Source organism: Homo sapiens, chromosome 7 (genome assembly GCF_000001405.40).
Source record: "Homo sapiens chromosome 7, GRCh38.p14 Primary Assembly".
In the NCBI taxonomy this organism is placed as follows: domain Eukaryota; kingdom Metazoa; phylum Chordata; class Mammalia; order Primates; family Hominidae; genus Homo; species Homo sapiens.
Window position 1 is genome coordinate 5,474,999 of NC_000007.14, and position 14,174 is coordinate 5,489,172.

The 14,174-nt window shown below is 57.7% G+C and overlaps 1 protein-coding gene and 1 non-coding gene across 5 annotated transcripts in view, besides 7 other annotated features; one reads left to right on the top strand and one right to left on the bottom strand.

Annotated features, from left to right (window-relative positions):
- The window catches only part of FBXL18 (F-box and leucine rich repeat protein 18), a 59,385-nt gene that overhangs the window by 20,574 nt on the left and 24,637 nt on the right, over positions 1–14,174 (bottom strand). For 3 of the 4 annotated variants that reach the window (NM_001367781.1, NM_001367780.1, NM_024963.6), the window contains exon 5: positions 799–6,933. The exons of the other annotated variant lie outside the window; for it this stretch is intronic. In NM_001367781.1, coding sequence (NP_001354710.1) covers positions 6,777–6,933 — 157 coding nt within the window. In that variant the 3' untranslated portion in view covers positions 799–6,776. Of the gene's footprint in view, positions 1–798; positions 6,934–14,174 lie in introns of those variants that run through there. 4 annotated transcript variants of the gene reach the window in all.
- On the top strand, positions 10,397–10,503 carry LOC124901847 (small nucleolar RNA U13). The gene has a single exon (XR_007060681.1). It is a non-coding gene; the product is annotated as a small nucleolar RNA U13 (small nucleolar RNA).
- Positions 12,001–12,120: a silencer, noted in NCBI's record as "silent region_17915". NCBI's record gives its function as "represses an Ori minimal core promoter by ATAC-STARR-seq in GM12878 lymphoblastoid cells {active_cell/tissue: GM12878}" and the evidence as "EXISTENCE:reporter gene assay evidence [ECO:0000049][PMID:35858748]".
- Positions 12,001–12,723: a biological region, named in NCBI's record as "H3K4me1 hESC enhancer GRCh37_chr7:5526631-5527352".
- Positions 12,002–12,723: an enhancer, noted in NCBI's record as "H3K4me1 hESC enhancer chr7:5526631-5527352 (GRCh37/hg19 assembly coordinates)". NCBI's record gives its function as "activates a minimal SCP1, AML or CMV promoter by ChIP-STARR-seq in naive H9 embryonic stem cells {active_cell/tissue: H9 hESC(naive)}" and the evidence as "EXISTENCE:reporter gene assay evidence [ECO:0000049][PMID:30033119]".
- Positions 12,181–12,230: an enhancer, noted in NCBI's record as "active region_25577". NCBI's record gives its function as "activates an Ori minimal core promoter by ATAC-STARR-seq in GM12878 lymphoblastoid cells {active_cell/tissue: GM12878}" and the evidence as "EXISTENCE:reporter gene assay evidence [ECO:0000049][PMID:35858748]".
- Positions 12,251–12,340: an enhancer, noted in NCBI's record as "active region_25578". NCBI's record gives its function as "activates an Ori minimal core promoter by ATAC-STARR-seq in GM12878 lymphoblastoid cells {active_cell/tissue: GM12878}" and the evidence as "EXISTENCE:reporter gene assay evidence [ECO:0000049][PMID:35858748]".
- Positions 12,611–12,700: an enhancer, noted in NCBI's record as "active region_25579". NCBI's record gives its function as "activates an Ori minimal core promoter by ATAC-STARR-seq in GM12878 lymphoblastoid cells {active_cell/tissue: GM12878}" and the evidence as "EXISTENCE:reporter gene assay evidence [ECO:0000049][PMID:35858748]".
- Positions 13,446–14,167: an enhancer, noted in NCBI's record as "H3K4me1 hESC enhancer chr7:5528075-5528796 (GRCh37/hg19 assembly coordinates)". NCBI's record gives its function as "activates a minimal SCP1, AML or CMV promoter by ChIP-STARR-seq in primed H9 embryonic stem cells {active_cell/tissue: H9 hESC(primed)}" and the evidence as "EXISTENCE:reporter gene assay evidence [ECO:0000049][PMID:30033119]".

Genomic DNA, 14,174 nt, shown 5'->3' on the forward strand with positions numbered 1-14,174 from the left:
CGCCTGGCCAAATTATGCACTTTAAAATGGTTAAGATGGTCCAGGCCTGGTGGCTCACGCCTGTCATCCCAGCACTTTGGGAGGCCGAGGCGGGTGGATCACTTGAGGTCAGGAGTTCGAGACCAGCCTGGTCAACATGGCGAAACCCCGTCTCTACTGAAAATATTTTAAAAATTAGCTGGGCGTGGTGGTGGGTGCCTGTAATCCCAGCTACTCCGGAGGCTGAGGCAGGAGAATCGCTTGAACCCAGGAGGCGGAGGTAGCAGTGAGCTGAGATCACACTACTGCCCTCCAGCCTGGGCGACAGAGCAAGATTCTATCTCAAAAAATAATAATAAAATAAAATGAACAATGCTGAGGCTGTTTCCACAGCCCTGAGGGAAAGCCTAAGCTGACTCGGCCCTGCCTGCCTTCAGCCAGCCACCACTTTTGCTGTCTGAGCTGCCACCAGACCACAGGGAGGCTTTTGCAGTGTGTAGCCTGCACAACCGTGCCAGTGTACCTGCACTGCTCCCTGCCAGGCCCATCCTGACCTACGCAGCCTCCTCTTTCACCTTTGGCCTCCCCAGCCCAAGGCTGTCTCAGCTGTCACCTCCTGATGCCCCCTGGGGAGTGTCTGCCCCCCGCTTTGGGTCTTGTGTCTCCATCCACACACCTCTGTTTCAGACAACCCGCCTCCCCAAGCACGGCACCCGCCCCCAACCATCGGAAGTGAACAAAGCTACCAGCCTCGGACCCAAGGAAGGGGTTGTAGGCAAGAGGTCAAAGTATCCGTGCTGGAAGGACCACACAGCCGCCTGGCTTTCTAAATCAAGTCCATTTTATTTGAAATTTTCCACATGCCACACATGTACATGAAAATTCCCATCCAGAATGTAGTTTGCTACAGTGAACACCAATGTCAGGAGCAGGCATCACCGTGAGACGCCACGGGGGCAGGTCAGCGGGACGGGGACAGGGAGGTTGGTCATCGAAAGGCAGGTGATGCATGTCGTGTCATTTAGCACCTGGTCATGAGATACGGCGAGACCCCCAGGTCCAGGGAAAGGTCTCCCCTTAAAACCACGTGGAGCTCTGCTGTCTCTGGGCAGTCTCACGTGGACAGACAATGCTCAGAAGGTGGCGAAGGGGCTGGAGGGAGATACCACCGACGGCTGCAGGGGAGGGGCACGCACACACACAGGCACGCACATGCTTGCCCATGAACACCCCCCGGGCACACACACACCCTTGCACACTCCCCACCCTCCCTCCACCCCAGACACATCAGCACAGCGGTCCAGGCTCTGGCTCACTCCCCGGGAGGCTTCTGTGGCCAGGGTTCCCATGGCGGGTCTGGTGGCAACAGCTTGGAGAAAAGCCTCCCGGGACCAACCCTCATTCCCAGGTCCACTGATCTGGGGTAGGAGTAGCCAAGTGTTCTGACAGGCGGTTTTCCCGTAAACCGACCCCTTCAGCGTTTCTGCTTTTTGTTGTTTGTTTTCTGAGACAGGGTATTGCTCCGTGGCCCAGAGTGGAGGGCAATGGTGCGATCTTGGCTCACTGCAACATCCAACTCCTGGGCTCAAGCAATCCTCCTGCCTCAGCCTCCTGAGTAGCTGGGACCACAGGCACATGTACAATGCCCAGCTAACTTTTTTTTTTATTTTATGTAGCGATACAGTCTCACTATGTTGCCCAGGCTGGTCTCGAACTCCTGGGCTCAAGCGATCCTCCTGCCCCAGCCTCCCAAAGTGCTGGGATGACAGGCGTGAACCACCACGCCCGGCCCCTCCCATGTTTCTCAAAGGAGCTTTAGAGAGCAGAGGAGCCCGAGTCACTGCCACCACTGGGTTCCTCAGTGTCTGTGGGGTTTGTGTTCATCATGCCCAGTAGATCTAGAAACTTCTTTTGTTTTTTTTTTTTTTGAGACGGAGTCTCACTCTGTCGCCCAGGCTGGAATGCAGTGGTGCGATCTCAGCTCACTGCAAGCTCCGCCTCCCAGGTTCATGCCATTCTCCTGCCTCAGCCTCCTGAGTGGCTGGGACCACAGGCGCCCGCCACCACACCCGACTACTTTTTTGTATTTTTAGTAGAGACGGGGTTTCACTGTGTTAGCCAGGACGGTCTCGATCTCCTGACCTCATGATCCGCCTGCCTCAGCCTCCTAAAGTGCTGGGATTACAGGCGTGAGCCACTGCGCCCGGCCAGATCTAGAAACTTCTAACTTGAATCCCACACCCCCAAGTGCAAATGAGACCCATGACCATCACAAAGACCCCCCAGCGTCGTGGTCAAGGCTACCAGGAACTGGCAGCAGCGCTCTGCCCACGTCCACAGGAAGTGGCCGACGTCTCCTCTGCCTTTGGTTTAGTGGCCCCACACTTCATCACCTCACTTTGTCCATGAATTTCACACGTTTTCTTACAAGAGCTCTGTAATGCGCCAGGCACGGTGGCTCACACCTGTTATCCTAGCACTTTGGGAGGCCGAGGCAGGAGAATCACTTGAGGTCAGGAGTTCAAGGCCAGCCTGACCAACATGGTGCAACCCCATCTCTGCAAAAATACAAAAATTAGCCGGTCATGATGGCAGGTGCCTGTAATCCCAGCTACTCAGGAGGCTGATGTGGGAGAATCGCTTGAACCTGTGAGGTGGAGGTTGTAGTGAGTGAGCTGAGATCGTGCCACTGCACTCCAGCCTGGGGGACAAAGCAAGACTCCCTCTCAAAAAAAAAAAAAAGGCTCTGTAATTTTCAGATCCTAAAAGGAGCAGATAACAGGGGAAGAGGAGGTGGGAGGCTGCCACAGCGCTGCCTGCTGGGGGATCAAGGTCCCCGCATCCAGGCCTCCAGCACCCTCCATCCCTGCAGGAGCACTGCTGGCACCGCCAAGGCCGGAGCACTGGTCTGGAGCTTCATTGGCCGGCAGGGGCCCAGCCCTCAGCTGTTGGAGCCCTACGGCTCTAGGTCTGGCCCCTCCACAAGCCCTCCAGGCCCACGCCTGAGCCCAGCCCCGGTCCCCTGGGTCCAACGGCCTGTGGCTCTGGGTCCGGACCCAGGGTGTGGTTGAGGGAGGGCGCTGCTGAGCTGGCAGGCAACCCTTGTGTGTTTGCAGCGCAAGAGGAGCTCAGCCCGTCCTGGCTGCCGTCCTGGGTCGAAGCAGCAAGTGTCTTCCCGCCCTGTGCACAGACAGGTCCCAGGAGGGCCTCTTGGAGAAGAAACCGCTCAGGCCCATGTCCTGGCAGGGCCTCTGGGGGCAGCAGATGGCAAGGATAGAGCCCGCCCCCTCTGCTGCAGAAGGAAGCGGCCCTCACCCAGCCCCCCTGGGCTGGACGGGCCGTTGAAAACAAGAAAAGCCTTCCATAGCAGAAAGGAGTACTCAAGGCCCAGAAAGGCAGCTTTGCTCTGGGTCATCAGGCTCAAGTGCCTGCTCTGGGCCACCTTCGGAAGCCTGGTGGAGCCGAGTGTTGCCTGGTGACGTGGAGCAGGAGGCGGGGCGGAGGCTGCGGGACACGGGGCTGCAGGGCCGGGAAGGGGGTCAGGAGAATAAATAGCAGCTAGGTGTGGGGTGAGCTGGGAGCACAGGCAGGAGGGGGCAGCCAGAGAGGTTGGGGCTCTCCCTTTTAAAGAACAAAGGGATACATACCCTTTCCCCTCCTCCCTCCCTCCAACCCCACAGTCTCTCCCTCACATACACACACGGAAGACGTGACTCACACACACATGCACACACAGGGCACAGGTACACGAAGGCACACGTGCACACACAGGGCACAGGTACACGCAGGCACATGTACACACAGGCACACGTGCACGCAGGCACACGCATGCAGGCACATGTGCACACACAGGGCACAGGTACCCGCAGGCACACGTGCACGCAGGCACACGCACGCAGGCACGGGGACAAGTGCTGACCACGCTCCTCCAGCAGGCAGCATATGGTCTGCTGCTTAACAGCCGAGCTCTGCCAATTGGGGACCATTAGGGTGGGTTCTTTTCCCAGCATCAAATGCTGCAGAATATAAATTGCAACTAACGCTGGTGCCAAAATAGCACTTAGAGAAAATAAGCACGTTATTAACATCTGGTGAAGCCCATCTCGGGGGTAGCAGCAGCGGAAATTCTTGCTCTAAGTCAGAGGATGGTTGCAGGGGACACTAAAAATACAAGGTCCACTGTTTCAGGGGTGCTTTCCAAGGCACTGCACCCCAGCCTCAGGAACAGCCCTTCCCCCAGTCCTGTCTATGAGTATAAATTATGCTGCTGGTTAAAACCGCTTGCTCATGAGAACAGGACACCCAGGCGCGATCGTACACACGCTAGGATGCATTCCTGGAGCAGACGCAATTCTCTAGCCCGAGTGGGGAATGTTCTGGAGGAAGGAGTGGGGCGGAGCTGCGGTGCCCAGAGACACAGGCCCCCTGAGGGTCCGGGAACCTCCCAGGCCACTCGCCCCTGCCTGGTCGGAGAGCAAGAAGTGGTCAGTCCCAGGAGGCACCACACCACCCGATCTGATCGCCGCGCCTGGTGGTCTCCAGGTGCCATTTTAAAGCTCTAAAGAAATGCCCAGGAACTGTGGGTGGGGGGGGTGCTCCCACCACCTCTGAGACCCTCATCTACAGCCCCTGCCCCCTGGGGCCGTGGGCAGCTGGTCCTGCGGCCTGCAGACTAGGAGACGGGGCCTAGGGGTGTGGCTCTCACAGGCCATGACAGGAGGGCCAGGAGGCCTCTGGGAGGCGAAGGCTTGGTCTGGTGTGGGTCCCACCATCGGGCACTGCTGGAATCAGCCTGCAGAAGGGTCCCTCTGGCCAGGAGGCAAAGGTTCTGCACTGGGTGCAGCCTGGGGCTGGGAGAGGACCCGTGGGCTTCAGAGAGGAGGCGATGACCCCATACATACAAGAAAGTCAGGGTGAAGTGGGAGGAGACCTCAAACCCCAGATCCACCTGTGCCAGTGAGCAGAGGCGCCAGGGTGGGGTCAAGACTGCCAGGTGGAGAGCTGGGAGGCAGCCTGCACAGGAGGGCTGTACCTCCCCACAGCTCTGACCCCAGTTCTCCAAAGGCCTCCTGGACAAGGAGCTTGGCCCCCAGAGCAAGGAGCTGCTGAAAACCATCCCCACTCAGGGGCAGGGCCGGTGATTGGAGGCCTGGGGATGGTGTACCCCATTTTTTAACAGCAAAGCAAATGTGAGACACCACCCCACAGGACGGGGCATCTGTCACACGGAAACCCAGGAGGAGGAAGGCGGGCTGGACAAGGGGCCCTTCACCAAGAGCGGCCAGGGCGGCGGTCCAGGCTAGCAGGGCCCAACTACAGCCCCCTTTGGAAGCCACTGGCCCAGGGACAGCTCTAGGAGCGCCTGGAGGTGGAGGACGGCAGAAGCGGCCACCGTGGCACATGGGGTGAGGACTCAGATGCCAGGAGGATGTCCTCATTTTTGGAATAACTTTGTTTTTTTCTCTTTCTTTTTCAGAGATGGGGTATCCCTGTGTTGCCCAGGCTGATCTCAAACTCCTGGGCTCAAGTGATCCTCCCAAAGTGTGTTGAATATATATATATATATATATATTTTTTTTTTTTTTTTTTTTTTTTTTTTTTTTTGAGGCGGAGTCTCACCCTGTTGTCCAGGCTGGAGTGCAATGGTGTGATCTCGGCTCACTGCAACCTCCGCCTCCCAGGTTCAAACGATTCTCCTGCCTCAGCCTCCTGAGTAGCTAGGATTACAGGCGCCCGCCACCACGCCCAGCTAATTTTTGTATTTTTAGTAGAGATGGGGTTTCACCATGTTGGCCAGGCTGGTCTTGAACTCCTGACCTCGTGATCCACCCACCTCAGCCTCCCAAAGTGCCGGGATTACAGGCGTGAGCCATCGCGCCCAGCTGAGTATTTTTAAAGTCTTAAATGAAGTCATTTGAAATGGGGTCATGTGATTGCTACTCCAGCCTTAAGAATCCTTTCTGGGTTTTAATGTTTCGCGTTATTCTAACAAAGCCGAATGTGTATCGATTTCCCCAGGAACGCGCATGGACCTTCCCAGGGAAGCTGAAGGCCGTGGGGTGGGTGGGAGGGGGAGGAGGCCTCTCTCGTTAGAAACGGGCCCTGCTGGTTGGGCTGAAAAGTCACAGGAGAGGCTCCAACCAGCAGTCCCAACCTCAGGGGACCTCTCTGGGGCCACAGGCATCATCTGGCTAGAAAAGCCCCAGAGACATGAGTGGGCTCAAGTGTGTCCTAATGGGATGGAGAGTCCCAAGTCTGCAGCCACTAAACTGGCAGGCCCTTCCCCATGTCACACTTGACCATGCAAGGGGACACTCAGATACACGGTGACCAGCCCGGCCGACTGGACTTCAGGGGGACAGCATGTGGCCGCCCATCCACGGGGCCCCGGTGGCAGGTGACCACAAACACAACAGCCAAGGGACACGCTTCCCGGTCGGAAGTGGCAGGGGGTTCGGGCCCTCCAGGCCCGTGGACAGGGCCCCCAGGGATTGCGGCTCAGTATACAAACCCCCCAGCCAGGCCCCAAGGGTCAGCCTGGTTCAGCCAGCCCCCCACATCGACCGTCCCCCGAGCCCCCTCATGTCACCCAGAACGCATCCCCTCGACCTAAACTTCACAGAGCAACAGTCCCCATGAGAGAGCCGTGGAGACGCCGGGAGCCCCAGGAGCCAGGTGGGGCGTGGCTGGCCGGGAGAGAGGCCCCCTTCCTCTTGTGACAAACCAAGGGTCCCTGGCGTCCCAGGCTCCTGCAGCTTCTCGAGGTGACTGAGACCGATGGGCGGCGGCTCCGCCTCTCACCACCACAGGTTCGGCGGTTCCTCGGCCACTCTGCTCTTAAATAAGGTGATCTCATCCAGGTGCACCAGGGGGACGTCCCGGATGACGTCGGTCAGGCCCTCGTGGAGCAGAGGGAAGATGACGACGTTTAACGCGGGCCGCTCGGCCTGGAAGCTGAACCAGAGACAGGCGGTCAGCGGATTACATGGGTGGCCACGGAGGGGGCGGAGCCTGCTGGGGAAGCCCAGGAGGCACTCACACCTGCCTCCCCGTCCCGGGCTCACCTGGGGCTCCCAGACAGACCATGCCTGCCAGAGTCACCCTCTAAGTGCCTCAAGGGCCCTGTACGTGGCAGACAGAGCTGGGGAGGAGCACGGCAGCCGGGAACAGGCCACACGCTTCTCTCCAGGCTCAGGGGGCACCCGCTCCATGCCAGCCACGAGGATCAGAGGCCCCGGAGGCCAACCCTGCTCTGCAGACGTGCTGCTGGGCCCCAGGGCAGCAGAGGGACCCCACTGCAGGAGTGGCAGATCCGAGGCCCCTGGCCCACGGAAGCCCCACGGCCAGGACAGAGAGAAGGGACAGGTGCCCACACCCCACAGCCGCAGGTGGGCCACCTCAAGGGGGTGCGACTGCCAAGTCAGTGAGGCAGCAGCAGTCGCTGGGAGGAGCAGATACCCAGGTGGCCACTCAGGAAAAGCACACGTTTGACCGCATGACAAATGGCAGGTAGGCGACCCCCCCCCAATGCCCCCACCCCCAGGCGACCAGCCCCCGCCACGCTGTGCACGAAAACTCATGCACAATTGCCACGGGGTGCCCACCGAGTGCCAGACGCTGCATTGAGCTCGACAGACATGACCTCATTTTGCCTTCCCCACAACCCTACAACCAACCACAGTCCCCCAGCGGGCCATGAAGCAGAACAGGGACCCCTCCACAGTCAGAGCAGGCCACCAGCACAGCCCTACTGGCCCTCCTAGGCCAAAATGCAATGCAAGTGCATTTGTGGCTTGCCCCTGTAATCCCAACACCTGGGAGGCTGAGGTGGGAGGATTGTTTGAGGCCAGGAGTCCCAGAACAGCCTGGGCAACATAGGGAGACTTTGTCTCTATAAAAAATTTTAAAAAATGAGTCAGGCATGGTGGTGCATGCCTGTCACCTCAGCTACTTGGGAGGCTGAGGCAGGAGGACCACTTGAGCCCAGGAGGTAGAGGCGGCAGTGAGCTAAGATCACGCCACTGTACTCCAGCCTGGGCAACACAGTAAGACCCTGTCTCAAAAAAAAAAAAGAAAAAGAAGAAGAAAAGAAAATACAAAGACGACCCAAGTGCCAGCCCGGGAGCTCCAGGCAGAAGGAAAAACATAGCAGTGCCCCAGAGAGGAAGACAAAAACATCCAGGACGGGCGCAGTGACTCACACCTATAACCCCAGCACTTTGGGAGGCAGAGGCAGATGGATCACCTGAGGTCAGGGGTTTGAGACCAGCCTGGCCAACATGGTGAAACCCCGTCTCTACTAAAAATACAAAAATTAGCAAGGCAGGATGGCGGGTGCCTGTAGTCCCAGCTACTCAGGAGGCTGAGGCAGGAGAATCCCTTGAACCCAGGAGGTGGAGTTTCCAGTGAGCCGAGATCGTGCCACTGCACTCCAGCCTGGGCAACAGAGCGAGACTCCATCTCAAAAAAAGAAAAAAAAAATCGAGGCTGAGCGCAGTGGCTCATGCCTGTAATCCCAGCACTTTGGGAGGCCGAGGTGGGCAGATCACCTGAGGTCGGGAGTTCGAGACCAGCCTGACCAACATGGAGAAACCCCATCTCTACTAATAATACAAAATTAGCCGGGCATGGTGGTGCATGCCTGTAATCCCAGCTACTTGGAAGGCTGAGGCAGGAGAATCACTTGAACCTGGGAGGCGGAGGTTGCAGTGAGCCGAGATTGCGCCACTGCACTCCAGCCTGGGCAACAAGAGCAAAACTCCGTCTCAAAAAAAAGACAAAAAAAAAATCCAGAAACTTCTGCCCAGAGTCTCAGTGGGTGCAAGGCAGGGAGTTACCCACGACAAAGAACCTCACCGTTTGCCAACACTAAGTCAAGTCCCCCCGGCCACAGCGGCCACTTAAAGGGAAGAGGACGACGGGGTCCAGCCTCTCGCTGTGACCCTGCCTGAGGTGGTGCTGGACTCACGACACACAGAGTCAATAGCAGAAAGGCACTCACAAAAGCAGAGGTTTCGGCAATAAAGACGCCATCACACACCTCTTTCCACACAGTAATCTCGTGGGCAGCAATGTCCATGACCGTGAACACCACGGGTCATGTGGCAGACGCATCCTGGCCTGTGAAACCGTCATGCCATGTACTTGATTTGCATCAAACTCCACCCCCTCTGGCTCCAGCTCGTGAGGCTGTTAAGGAGCTGCTGTCGGCTGGCCGTGGTGGCTCACGCCTGTAATCCCAGCACTTTGGGAGGCCAAGGCGGGTGGATCACGAGGTCAGGAGATCAAGACCATCCTGGCTAACACGGTGAAACCCCGTCTCTACTAAAAATACAAAAAAAAAATTAGCCGGGCGTGGTGGTGGGCGCCTGTAGTCCCAGCTATTCGGAAGGCTGCGGCAGGAGAATGGCATGAACCTGGAAGGTGAGCTTGCAGTGAGCAGAGATTGCGCCACTGCACTCCAGCCTGGGCGACAGAGGGAGACTCTGTCTCAAAAAAAAAAAAAAAAAAGAGCTGCTGTCGGGACATGGAAGGTGATTTTTCTTTTTTTTTCGAGACAGGGTCTTGCTCTATCTCCCAGACTGGAGTGCAGTGGCACAATCATAGCTCACTGAAGCCAGTAGCTGGGACCACAGGCACACATCACCACACTGACCAGCTAATTTTTTTTTTTTTTTTTGAGACGCAGTCTTACTCTGTCGCCCCGGCTGGAGTGCAATCGCGTGATCTTGGCTCAATGCAACCTCCGCCTCCCGAGCTTAAACGATTTTCCCGTCTCAGCCTCCCAAGCAGCCAGGATTACAGGTGCCCGCCACCATGCCTGGCTAATTTTTGTATCTTTAGTAGAGACAGGGTGTCACCATGTTGACCAGGCTGGTCTCGAACTCCTGACCTCAAGTGATCCACCCGCCTCAGCCTCCCAAAGTGCTGGGATTACAGGTGTGAGCCACCATACCCGGCCATTATTTTTTATTTTTTATTTTTTGTAGAGACAGGATCTCACCATGTTGCCCAGCCTGGTCTCAAACTCCTGGGCTCAAACAATCCTCCCCCCTTGGCCTCCCAAAGCACTGCGATGACAGGTGTGAGCCATGGCACCCAGCCAGGATTCGTTTCTCGCCACAAGCAAGGAATGAAGCAGGGGGGCCTGCTCTTCCACACACCCTGAGGGGGTCACAGGCTGCATCTGTCTCTGCGGCCAGGAAGGAGCAGCCTGCTTTGGATGTCCCTGGGTGATGTGAGAAGGTGCCACTCTAGAGTAGTGTGTGGAGGGGACACCTGGGGCAGAGGGGGAGTCTCTGTGGATTGGGACAGAAAGGCCAGCCCTTCTTGGCAGTCAGAGGGCACTCCTGTGCGGCTTCATAGTCTGCTACGTACATAATGAGGCTCAAAAAGACTGAGTTTGGGAAAAGTTAAGATCCTCCTATAGTTCCTCAATGTGATGACTGGGTGTTCACACTCATTGGCGAGATGTGCCTCTCTCAAACCTTGTTCAGATGCTGCAGACACATTACCCATCAGATGTGCAAAAAAAATAAATAAATAAAAAAGGGAGGCCAGGCGCAGTGGCTCACGCCTGTAATCCCAGCACTCTGGGAAGCTGAGGTGGGAAGATCACTTGAGTCCAGGAGTTCAAGACCACCCCGGGGGCTAGGCATGGTGGCTCACACCTATAATCCCAGTACTTTGGGAGGCCGAGGCGGGCAGATCATCTGAGGTCGGGAGTTCGAGACCAGCCTGACCAACATGGAGAAACCCTGTCTCTACTAAAAATTCAAAATTAGCCGGGTGTGGCCGGGCGCGGTGGCTCAAGCCTCTAATCCCAGAACTTTGGGAGGCTGAGGTGGGCGGATTACCTGAGAGGTCAGGAGTTCGAGACCAGCCTGGTCAACATGGTGAAACCCCATCTCTACTAAAAAAAACACAAAAAAATTAGCCGGGCGTGGTGGCACACGCCTGTAATCCCAGCTACTCAGGAGGCTGAGGCAGGAGAATTGCTTGAGCCCAGGAAGCGGAGGTTGCAGTGAGCCGAGATTGTGCCACTGCACTCCAGCCTGGCCAACAGAGCAAGACTCTGTCTCAAAAAAATAAATAAATAAATAAATAAATAAATAAATAAATAAAAATTTAGCTGGGCGTGCTGGCGCATGCCTGTAATCCCAGCTACTCGGGAGGCTGAGGCAGAATTGCTTGAACCTGGAAGGCAGAGGTTGCAGTGAACCGAGATGGTACCATTGCACTCCAGCCTGGGCAAAAAGAGCAAAACTCCATCTCAAAAAAAAAAAAAAAAAATGAGCTGGTTGTGGTGGCACATGCCTCTAATCCCAGCTACTCCAGAGGCAGAGGCAGGAGAATCTATTGAACCTGGGAGGTGGAGGCTGCAGTGAGCCAAGATCGTGCCACTGCACTCCAGCCTGGGAAACGAGCGAAACTCTGTTTCAAAAAAAAACAAAAAACAACAACAAAGAAAACAAAGCCAGCCTGGGCAACATAGGGAGACTCCATCTCTATAAAAAAATGTAAAAATTAGCCGGGAGTGGTGGCGTGCACCTGTAGTCCCAGGTACTGAGGAGGCTGAAGCAGGAGGATCACTTGAGTCTGGGAGGTCAAGGCTGCAGTGAGCTGTGATTGCACCATTGCACTCCAGCCTGGGCAACAGAGAGAGACCCTGTCTCTAAAAAAAGAAAAAGAAAGAAAAAGAAGAGACGGCGGCCGATACCCAGTCGTGTGTGAAGGTGAGTCTGTCAGAGACAGGAGGGTGATGGCCATCAAAAAAGGCAGCGCGGTCACCAGCAACAGGTCACCGGCGACAGGTCAGCAGCCACGACACCGGCCGGCCCTGCAGGCTGAGACACAGAGAGACGGTTGAGACCCCAGGCCACCCAGGGAGAGGACGGGTGAGCCGCACAACAGCCCGGGGCCAGGTCCTCCCTCTGGCTCCATAAATCCTCCAGGCAGGAAAAAAGACGAGAAAGAGAAAAGCGTCAGGAAAAGCGAGAGCAAACCGCTGCTCCTCCTCCTCCTTCCGCGCCCAGGGCGCAAAGCAGGGGGCGGGGCCTGCGGCCGGTTCCCGGGAGCCCCAGCGCCACCTGCTGGGCCTTGGGCGCAGCTGCAAAGGCCAGAGCTGCAGGGCTGACACTGACCCCTAGGCCCACACAGGTGCCCTGGGCTGGAAAGCCCAGGGAAGGCCGGTCAGACCCTGTCTGCAGGTCAGCTGGGACCTGCGGCTCGGGCCACACTGCCGTGACCGGGGCCGGCGTGGAGCCAGGCACAGGCACTGATGCCACGAGGAAGCTGTGGTACAGGTGTCCGTGGACGGGGCCTCTCCCACCTGGCTTTGGGGTGGTATCTGACTGCCAGCAGGGTGGGAAGAGAAAGGCTTTCAGCAGCCCTGGGGGAATCCAGCTTATGTGAGCACAGAGGTCCCTGCAATGCTGTGACCCTCTCATCTGCAGAAGATCCTGACACAGCCTGCCCAGCACAGAGCCTGGAGGTCCCCACAGAGGTCCCCTCAGCCCTGGATGGCCCTGCACAGTCCCCGACACGGCCCCTCTCCTCTTCCAGGCGTGAACTCCCATCCCTCCAGCACTCACTCCCTGCCTCATTGCTCAGGGCAGCTCTCGAAGACTGTTTCTCCATCTGTAAGCTGGGGCTGATAGCACTGACCTCACAGGGCTTCTGTGAGGCTTGAACAAGAGGCAAGATGCAGTGCCTGGAGCAGAGAGAGGCACCATGGGGGCCCCAGGCAGGCGCCCTGGAGGGGCACACACGGGAGGCACACTGCGAACACGGACGCCTCAACACCCGCATCCCACTCGGTTGGCAGCAAGTGCGCCGTGGGTCCCACCACAGGCCTGGGTGCTGCACCAGGTGCGGGACATCGGAGGGGGAGGGGTGGGTGGGGTCACAGAGGGACTGGCACAGAGGGATGGGCACGGCTTCTGCCGAGGAAGTCCTGAGGCTGCTCTCCAACACCACGCAGCAAGCATGGGTGATCAAGGGCTCTCCCAGGCACCTGCGTGTAACCAGCGCCCTCTGGGGCCACCTGCGAGCTCAGCGCCGGGCTCAGCTTGTGCCTGAGGACACAAAACACCAAAGAGCTGTGGAGCACCAGCCTTCAAAAAACGCACCGTCCAACCGGGGAACGCAAAGAGCTTACTGCATCCACCTTAGATCATCAGACTTGCCTAAAAACCACGAAGGTGCAGGTCACCCCAGGAGGCCAGAGGGCAAGCTCCCGGCCTGCAAGGGGCGGCATGGAGCCGGCCACAGGCAGCAGGTGAATGGAGGAGAGCAGCTCAGAGCAGGGGCTGGCATCCGGTGCCACGTCCAACCGACCCGCCTGTAGCGCCATGCAGAGAGGATTCTGAGGACCAGAAGGAAAAGCAGGCTCATCGGAGCAGGAGGCCTTCGAGGGTGGGGCGGGGGGCTGCCCCGTCATGAGCACAGCCGTCCTGAACTGCTTGGGGATCGTGGACGTTCTCCGCTGCAGCAAGGAAACAGACAACTCCCAGAGCCGGCCCCCATCGCCACAGGAAGTCGCCCCAGCCCTGCGGAGCTGAGACCGTCCCGCATGGGATGGGTCTGAGGGCCCCAGACTCACAGGCAACAGAAGAGAGGCAACGCCCACTCCCAAGTCCCTTCAACAAAACACCCACGCAGGAGGTGGCAGCTCTAGGTGCACAGTCGCAGCCTCCCACTGGCTGGAGGGCCTGTGAGTGGAGCCCAGCCGCAAGCGCAAGCGTATGGGGGGCGAAGGCCCGAGGCTCTTCCCACATCTGACAGGACAGAGCTAGGGCGGAGCTGCCTGCATCCGCCACACCTGAGAAAACCCAGCTTTAGCCTCTCGGTACCACAGCCTCACAGAGCACAGTGCACCCCTTCCCCCAACAGCTACCGCCTGTTCCCAAGCCCACTCGACTAAGCCCTTTGGAGCCTGTGACCCACTCAGCCCTCCTAAAATGGGGTACATCAGCAGGTGTCACATCCAGCTCACAGCACAAGGATGCTAAGATGTGGGGAAGCAGAGCCAAGGGGCTGAGCTGGAACATTCCAGCTGCCACCCAGGCTGCCCCCCTGGTTCCACCGCAGGCGAAGTCAAGATCCAAAGCAAAGTCGAGGACACAGTGACCGTGTTTTTAAAACCGCCATGAACCAGGGCGGACCACGACACCCAGATGAGAGCCGTGAGGACA